This window comes from Homo sapiens, chromosome 3 (assembly GCF_000001405.40).
Source record: "Homo sapiens chromosome 3, GRCh38.p14 Primary Assembly".
Taxonomy (NCBI): domain Eukaryota; kingdom Metazoa; phylum Chordata; class Mammalia; order Primates; family Hominidae; genus Homo; species Homo sapiens.
In genome coordinates this window covers 84,865,501-84,875,665 of record NC_000003.12, presented here as the reverse complement: position 1 = coordinate 84,875,665, position 10,165 = coordinate 84,865,501, and the positions used below count along the sequence as shown (strand labels likewise).

General features: G+C 35.2%; 1 long non-coding RNA gene across 1 annotated transcript in view; it reads left to right on the top strand.

Annotated features, from left to right (window-relative positions):
- The first annotated feature begins 6,090 nt into the window (after positions 1-6,090).
- The window catches only part of LINC00971 (long intergenic non-protein coding RNA 971), a 231,171-nt gene continuing 227,096 nt past the window's right edge, over positions 6,091-10,165 (top strand). Inside the window, exons 1-3 of the long non-coding RNA NR_033860.1 lie at positions 6,091-6,388; positions 6,642-6,763; positions 6,998-7,068. This is a non-coding gene — a long non-coding RNA (long intergenic non-protein coding RNA 971). The remainder of the gene's footprint in view (positions 6,389-6,641; positions 6,764-6,997; positions 7,069-10,165) is intronic.

Below are 10,165 nucleotides of genomic sequence, written 5' to 3'. Positions count from 1 at the left end.
GCCCTCTTGAACATAGCACATACATTTCGGGTTGTTGTCCTTGAGAGAAAGACAGTTAATTCCCTTCCCCATAAATAGCCCATGAGTACAGTTTATTCTGTGCCTTGGTAAATAAATGTCATTTATACTACAAATATGAGACAGAGACAATTGTAGCAGCAGTGGAGGGAAGAAATGGACAAGCAACCATAGTAGAAGAACATGACTTGGGCACTTCATTGAGAGAGAAAGGTATAGAAAGAAAGTGACATGGTGGGAGCAAAGAATCCACAATAAAGCAGAAATGCTAAAACAATGCTACTCAAAGTGAGGTTAGTGGGACCATGCTTGTCTGCTGTTTGTTACAGGTTCATCAACTAGATAAGAAATTGAGAGTAAGTATTTAGAAATCAGTCAATCAAACTTAGATCGATTAAGTAAATGAGAAAAAGTAAACTCATTTGTTACATTTAAAACTTGAAAATCTAGGCAATACCATTCAGGACATAGACATGGGCAAAGATTTCATGAGGAAAATGCCAAAAGCAATTGCAACAAAAGTAGAAATTGACAAATGGGATCTAATTAAACTAAAGAGCTTCTGCACAGCAAAAAAAGCTATCATCAGCGTGAACAGAGGGCCTATGGAATGGGAGGAAATGTTTGAAATCTATCCATCTGACAAAGGTCTAATATCCAGAGTCTACAAGGAACTTAAACAAATTTACAAGAAAAAAAAACCAAACAACCCCATTAAAAAGTGGGCAAAGGACATGAAGAGACACTTCTCAAAAGAAGATATGCATGTGACCAACGAACACATGAAAAAAGGTCAACATCACTGATCATTAGAGAAATGCAAATCAAAACCACAATGTGATACTGTCTCATGCCAGTCAGAAAGGCGATTACTAAAAAGTCCAGAAACAACAGATGCTGGCAAGGTTGCGGAGAAAAAGGAATGCGTTTACACTGTTGGTAGGAGTGTAAGTTCGTTCAACCATTGTGGAAGACAGTGTGGCAATTCCTTAAAGATGTAGAAGCAGAAATACCATTTGACCCAGCAATCCCATAACTGGGTATATACCCAAAGGAATAGAAACTGTTCTATTATACACATAAATGCACATGCAGCTCTATTCACAATAGCAAAGACATGGAATCAACCCAAATGCCCATCAATGATAGACTAGATAAAGAAAATGTGGTACATATACACCATGGAATACTATGCAGTGATAAAAAGGAACTAGATCATGTCCTTTGCAGGGACATGGTTGGAGCTGGAAGCCATTATCCTCAGCAAAATAACACAGGAATGGAAAACCAAACACCACATGTTCTCACTTATAAGTGGAAACTGAAACATGAGAACATTATGGACATATGGGGGCGAACAACACACACCGGACTGTTGGGCATGTGGGTGATGGGAGAGCATCAAGAAGAATAGCTAATGGATGCTGGGCTAAATACCTAGGTGATGGGATGATCTGTGCAGCAAACCACCAAGGCACACGTTTACCTATGTAACAAAACCTGCACATTCTGCAATTGTACCCCTGAACCTAAAATAGAAGTTGAAGAAAAAAAGAAATTATATATGAATCTATAGGTGCTTGTTCAAAATGTGAACAATATGCAGACTTGTAACTCTTGGTTTAGTAAAAATAGGAATCACATTATGAGTATAATAATGATTATTTCAATGAACAAAGTTTACAAACTTTATAATTGTTTTCTTTTTCCTAATGTTTCATATGATATTTACGGGGATGAATTTTGTGGTTTTAAATGCAATAGAAAAAGTTTGGGTTTGTATTTGGTATGTCTTTTTTAATATTCCTTTTTCTTTTTCTTTTTTTTTTTTTTTTTTTGAGACGGAGTTTCGCTCTTGTCGCCCAGGCTGGAGTGCATTGGCACGATCTCTGCTCACCACACCCTCCAGCTCCCGGGTTCAAGCAATTCTCCTGCCTCAGCCTCCCAAGTAGCTCAGATTACAGGCATGTGCCACCACACCTGGCTAATTTTGTATTTTTAGTAGAGACGAGGTTTATCCAGGTTGGTCAAGCTGGTCTCGAACTCCCGACCTCAAGTGATCTGCCTGCCTTGGCTTCCCAAAGTGCTGGGATTACAGGCGTGAGCCACTGCGCCCAGCCTAATACTCCTTTTTCTAATGATTAATTCTTATTATATTTTATGGAATTATTGATCTGCAATTGAATATAAATCTATAAATAAAACAAACTTGTTCTTTACCACTGTATTGGGAGGCACTGAATTAGAATACAGATCTTGTAGGAGGAGGATTAATAAGAGAAGTAACTTACATTGTAAAAAGAAAATAAGTCAGCTGGACACAGTGGTGTGAGTCTGTAATGCCAGCTACTTGGAAGGCTGGGACAGGAGGATCATTTGAGCACAGGAGTTCTAGGCAAGCCTGGGCAACATAGTGAGACCCTGTCTCTAATAAATGAACAAACAAACAGATGATAGATAGATAGATAGATAGGTCAGTAATAAGAAAAATGATGAAACTGGAGGGTATGAAATTTACAGCAGTAGATAATTTTTAACCTGTTTATAGAAGTATAATATACATATAATGTTCAAAATATTTTTATGAGATGACAATGAGATATTTTATAGCAGGTCCAACTTATAGTAGGCATCTATTTTCTATATCACACCATTGCTGACGTTATGGCAAACATCACAAGAAATGTGGAACAATGAGATCATCTGTGTTTTTAGAAGTGAATAAAAGGAAGGGGCTATCATACACAGATCAGAGGGTTTAAAACCTATGCATTTATTTTTCATTTAGTTATTTCATCACTCTTTTATTAATTCATGAATTCATTCAACAAATAATTTATATATTTAGTAATATTATATCTACTTATAAAAATTATCCATCACATTTATAGGTTTAGATGAAATAAAGAAAAACCCAAAAAAGAATCAAATTTCCAATACCTCAGAGACAAATTGTGTTAATGTTTTTGTGAACCTTATTGCAGTTTTCTACACACAAACACACACACACACAAATATTGGTATATTATAATTTAAGAGCCTTTGCCAATTTATAGATCATGAACAATTTCCTGGTCATTCAATCATCCTCTATAATGCCATTTTAGTGGCTGCATATTTTTTTCAAAGGATATGTGTGTGTTGTCTGGCATATGCATAAGTAATCTGATCATTTTTTTCTTTGTTGGGTATTTACATCACTGACAATATATCATTATTTTGAAAATGCTGCACTAAGTATACTTGAGGTGAATATGAACATATCTGCAAATATTTCTTCAAATTAATTTCTGGAAGTCTAGATTAGTATTTTGCACAGTTAGGGGGTTTCTAGTATGTATTTCTATTTCTAATGCTAAATTGTGCTTGAGAAAAAAGTTTGAAACATTTTTTTCCTGCTTAGCTGTTATAAATGAGTGTCCATTTCTTCATACACTTGTGAACAATGGGCACTATTACATTGATTTATACAAGAACAAAACAAAGACCAAAATTCAAGGAGAATGCGTGTGCATACTTTTCAATCATATTCTCACTGGCACTTTTCTCTCTCTCTCGGCATATTAGCTGCTATGTTCCGGGTACTGGGCTCTGGTCTTTTGGTGACTCCTGGCCACTAGACTTTTCTGCAGTTGTCCTGGGGATTGAACAGAAGGTATTTCTGGGAAGAAAACGCTGGGGTTGAGGATGAGAGTGCAAGATCCTGCAGGTAGAGATGACCTAGGAGAAAGGCTGGTGGAAAAGTCTGAGGAGGTGACAAGTTTGGAAGATCACCGGCAGAGGTCAGAAACTGAGAGTTTGTAGTTGCTAGAAAGCCTTCTGTAGAAAAAGGAATTAGATGAGGAATAAGCACTTGCAGAGAAGTGGTCCTGAAGGCAGCAATACTGAAAACAGGTTTCCTAGCAGAACTCCTTGAACTTGGAGGTAACTAGGGCAAGAAAACAAGTTCTGCATCTACTTGTGTATTGTTATTTATAACATGGAGCAGTGCTCGGAATTTTACCAAGAGAAAATCTACTGTGGCCAACATGTACCTTATTTTCCAGTATAAATGAACAGAAATGGTGTGGGGATATTAATCAATCACATATTAATGCAAATAAATGTGTGCCTGTTGCTTTTTTCCCCCTAAGAGACATAAAATAATTTAGTCTTAAAAAAGAGAAATTGTAATTTGGTCTGGGTTTACAATTCTTTGGAAGGTGGATTACATTGGATTATCAGAGTTCCTCTTTCTCGGTCCCAAAGTAGAGACCTGAGGAAATATATTGGACATAGGGGAAGGAAAACACGCACACACACACAAACACACTTCCATTTTCTAACCACTTTCTTTGCCAGTAGCTGTAGTTGTTTTGAGAAATAATTTCTTAAAGTGAGTATCTTTCTAAAACGGGTTAAAAATGAAGGAATGATGCTGGAGGGGAATGACAAAGATGAATAATTATTTGAGAGGGGGGGCTTTTGGCATTGTAAGTAGACACATGCAATGCAGGGAAGGTAAAATTTTCAATGTCCTTTTGGAAAGAAAATTTTTCATTTTATGATGTTTCCTTCACTGTGATCCTTATCCTTCCCTAAAGGCTAAACCTATAAATAGATTCACAGGATGGTAGTTTCTGCACCAGCATCAAACTAAGTTTGGGTTCTTTGTAATCATTTCAGAACCATTGGTTATGATCCTCTCTATGTGTATGTGCATGTGTATCTGTCTGTGTGCTAGAGAGAGAGAGAAAGCAACAGAAAGAGACAGGGAGATGGAGATGGAAAGAATGAGATTGTTTTGTTTATAAACTTGGAAGCAGTGTGTCTCTGGGCCCTAATTTTTTAGTTGTTTTTTTTTTCTTTGCCATATCACATTATTTAATTGCTTCTTTTTTGTCTGTGATACCTATAATACATGCCAACATATCTATTAACACTTACTCATTTTTAAAGGTGACAAAGTTACTAAATGTGCAAGGCCTCATAGCTTAGATAGCAGCTGGCTTGTACTGCATCCAGCAAATGGACCTACACACCTGTGAGTACTTAATAGACTTCTTTCCCCCTAGATTTAAAAGTCATTCCATACTAAAATATTTGGTATTGGAAACTCATTTTAAGGTGACCACTGAAAATTATGGAATCTATATGCATCACCTTCTGAATAAAATAAGCCAGGATGTTTTATCATTTCTGTTAAAGTGGAAATCCCTAAGAAATAAAAATTTTAAGATTTCTGTCTGTAAAATTGATTCATTGAAATTCTGAGGCTGAGTTTGCATGATTTAATTTCTTTATAGATACACAAATAGATATTTATAATGATCCTCCTCTTTCAGCTTCCCTATTTAAGGGAGAAAAGTTTCCAGACAAGCGTGTAAGCATATTGGTCAATCTGGCTTGATTGCTTTCCTCCAGCAATGGGCAGTTTTAATTTCCTATCACATTTATAGTCATTATGTTTGAGAAAGGGCAAAAGAGGTTAATGAAATCATTATAATTTCATTCAAATGATATATATTTTAAAAGCTCAATTAAAGAAACAGATACCAGGGTACCACATTTTATTTACCTTATGGAGACCATCGCTCTGTAGCACCTGTAAAGATACTGAAGAAACACATTTCCCAATGCTAAAATGAATGTGAAGTCATTACCATCACTGAACATATCTATAAAGTAAGTTTATTATGAAGATAAATGATGTTTAATTGAAAATGCATTGTTTCCTTATTTATTTAATGCATTTTTAATCAAATTCCTGACAGTTTTAAGGTAACATAACAAATTGGTTACTAAGGAATACTGCAATTTGACTGAAATATTACAAGTTACTTGGTTTTGAACAAACTAATAAACCTCTTTAATCAGTGCTTTCTTCATCTGTAAAGTGAACATAATGATATTACTAGCCCCAACATGATGGGGCAAATGACATAAGTAACATAAAATCACACTGACTGACATCTATAATAAGACGTTAATACATTTTCTCTATTATCATTATTACTATTGTTACTACTATTATTATGTCATATCCTTTAGAAATATGGAACATTCTGGGAGGCCGAGGTGGGCGGATCACGAGGTCAGGAGATTGAGACCATCCTGGCTAACACGGTGAAACCCCGTCTCTACTAAAAATACAAAAAAATTAGCCGGGCGTGGCGGCGGGCGCCTGTAGTCCCAGCTACTTGGGAGGCTGAGGCAGGAGAATGGTGCGAACCCGGGAGGCAGATTTTGCAGAGAGCCGAGATCGTGCCACTGCACTCCAGCCTGGGCGACAGAGCAAGACTCCGTCTCAAAACAAAAAACAAACAAACAAATATGGAGCATTCTGATATGAATAAGACACTTGCTCACTTCTCAATTCCTTGGTGTCCAGGTGGGAAAGCAGATAAGATTATGTTAACATTGTACCAATCTGATCTGGTCTAAACATTTTATCTATATTAACTCATTTATACTGTCAATAATTATGTTAGGTAGGTTTCATGAGTATTCCTGTTGTACAAATGAGGAAATAGTGGCTTCATAGGATAAACGGTTGCTCATAGTTACATGGCTAGCTAGAGTTTTGCTGGGATGTGACTCCAGGCAGTTTTGTTCCAGAGTCATTATTTTTTTCTTTTCTACAGCTCTACAAGTGTATATAGACTTCCAAAGAATATTTAAATCCTTTAACAAAAATGCCACCTAAGAAAATATGAAATACTTCAGTCTGTCTGTCAGTGCTCACTTCCTGTCTAGAAACTTTCAGGTGAGGAACACAATTCTGGAAATGGTTGTCCTCAACCATGTTCAATTCTTTTCCCCCAGTAATAATTCAGGCATGAGGACACCTTCCTGTGTGTGCAAAACCTCTCATATTTTTCAGTGTGGTAAGCAATTTCTTCACCTTGAACAATCATTCTGGTATTCTTTTCCCAGGAGAAGCAAAATTATTGACAGCATTCAGCTATCATCTTTTCACAAAACACTATTTCTCTTTTAGGCTCCGGCACAAATGAACCATGTTCTTCGCCTAAGTCATTTATGGAACATCTGCTTTCGGTTTAGCATCAGGTAAGATAATAAGAGAAATTCAGTGCTACTATCACTGCTTTCAGGAAGCTTACAACCTTTTAAACAAATATGCAACCATAGCGTATGGCCCTTTTATGGAATTTTGGAAGATGACTAATGTCTGTATACAAAAATGTACATATATATGTACATGTATGTACATACACACAATTGTAATATTTGGTTATACATATAGTAAAGAATGCTACCTTTTTTAAAATTGTTTTCTGCCTTCCAGTCAATGATAAGAATCCAGACATATTCATTTAAATAGGGGGAGAGGGACACTTATAATTCTTATTTCATCTTTACAGATACAATGTATTTCTTTGGAATTGACAGGGGAAACAAAGCAAAGAAGAATGACACTGAAGAATCAAAAAAAAAAATGAGCATAAGACCCATGAAGATTACAGACACATACACTCCTAAAATTAAACATTAAGCGGAATAAAAATAATCCCAGATTATATGGTCTGACATGCCAGAAGAAATAAAAACCTAAGGAATTAGTTAAAATCTGTGCAAAAAAAAAAAAAAAAAAAAAAAAAAAAAAACACTATGACTAGAAAAAGCACTATTACTAGTAAAAATAATGATAATGAATTCTGGTGTCTAAAATATTGAACTAAATAGTTAACAATAGCATATACATTAAGAGAGAGTGATTGGGATTTACAGGTTCTTAATCCTGCTAATGTCAGGAATAAGGTAGAGATAATGTTAGCAGAGATTTTGATAAATATGTATATTAAAATCTGTAGGGTAATCACTGAAACCAAAATGGTGGATATAATTTATCAAATAATAGCAAACAAATCAAGTGAAAAATTACCAAATTAAGGCTGGGCACGGTGGCTTACACCTGTAATCCCAACAATTTGGGAGGCTGAGGTGGGTGGATCACCTGAGGTCAGGAGTTTGGGACCCAGCCTGGCCAACATGGTGAAACACCATCTCTACTAAAAATACAAAAATTAGCCAGGGGTGGTGGTTGGTGCCTGTAATCCCATCTACTCAGGCAACTGAGGCAGGAGAATCACTTGAACCCAGGAGGCAGAGGTTGCAGTGAGCCAAGATGGCGCCTCTGCACTCCAGCCTGGGAGACAAGAGTGAAACTCTATCTCAAAAAAAAAAAAAATTAATTAATTAATTCATAAAAGGCTAGAGAGCATGAAAAACAAAAGAGAAAAAAATAGCATTCAGCTATCAGAAGTCTGGGTCTAAAGGAAATAAATCTGTTAAATCCAGTAGTCAGACTCCTTAAACTTTGGCCTGCCTCTCCCAGATGAGATTATACCAAAACCAACCTAATTATTACTAAATTATTTGATCAATTTGGAATTGAAAGGATGAGGAAGAAAACACAACTAAAAGGAATTGTACACCCAACATTATACACTAAGTCAATTCCAGTTTGGGATAAAGAAAAATCTAAAAAATGAAAGTATACAACTTTTAGAAGTCATTTCATGGGGATATATTTATAATTTAAAGACAGCAAAAAAAAAAAAAAAAACATTGACACAAAACAAACAAAAAAGAAAACCTCTACTATATGAGTATATAAATTAAAAGTTATTGTTTATCAAGGACCATAAAAAACAAAAACAAGAATCTCAAATTGTGAGAAATTATTTTCAGTGCATAAAAATGACAAGTGAATATTATTCAGCATGTATAACAAAAGCTTCACAACTACTAAAGGAAAGAAAAAATTATAAAACACAAAGACTCAAACTGCAGTTAACAGAAGGGGAAATTTGAATTTTTATCAAAAAACTAAAAATTACACTCAAATGTAATAGCAATATGAAAATACAAATTAAAATCATAATGTGGCACCATTTTACATGTAACCACATTGTTATAAAAATTCATAGCCTTCAAATATCAAATAGTGGTGATGTGAAATGACAGATCTTTCATATATTGCTCACAGGAGGGACTCCAAATAAGTACAAACACTTTGGAAAATTACTGATATTACCTTTAAAAGTTAATAACATATAGGCACAAGGACTAGAAATTCTAATCTTCAATCTTTATCTGGAAGAACCTCATGTATATGTATTCCAAGACATACGTATTTTCATAGAAGTATGTATCAGCCCATTCTTACACTGTTATAAAAAGAAATATCTCAGTATGGGTAATTTATAAAGAGGTTTCATTGGCTCACAGTTCCACACGCTGTACAGAAAGCATGATGCTGGCATCTGCTCAGCTTTTTGGGGGGCCTCAGGAAACACAATCATGGTGGAAGGTGAAGAAACGAGAGGCAAACACGTTTTATATGGCTGGGGCAGGAACAAGGAGGGGGGAAGGTGCTACACATTTTTAAACAACCAGATCTCGTGAGAGCTCATTCACTATCATGAGAACAGCACAAAGGGGGAAATCCTCTCCCATTATCCAGTCATCTCCCACCAGGTCCCACCTCCAACCCTGGGGATTCCAATTTGACATAAGATTTGGGCAGAGGCACAAATCCAAACCATATCAGAGTACTTTTTGCAATAGCAAAAAAATCCAAGAAAAATCTTAAATGTCCATCAGCAGTAGAATAAACAAATAAATTGTGTTACAACCATACGATATAATACTCTATAGCAATATAGATGAAGACCTCAGCTACTTGTAATAACATTGAGGAGAGAACCTAAAGTTTAAGAACCTTAAGTGGAGCTAAAAAAGCAAATTTCAGGTAAATATATACAATTTATTTTGTTTTAATAAATATTAAAGCATGGGAAATAAATGATTAGTTGTTTAAAAACTTAAAATGAATAATAACATTTTTCTAAAGCAAATAAAAAATACATCCAAAATTTAAAATAGATGTTACCCATGAAGGGGAAAATGAAGACATAAGAGGAGGAGGATGAGAAGAAAGATGTTAAAAGCCATGAGACCGATCTTTCTCGTAAACCAAGTAGTTTACATGTAGAAGTTTATTAGTATTCTTTGTACTTTGTACCTCATTTTTTAATAAATATGGCTTAAATAATACAAATTCACTTTAAAAATGACTGTTTTCATGTGACTAAAAAAAGAATATAAAAAATGCCCTAAATGAAAAAGAAAATCTTTATAT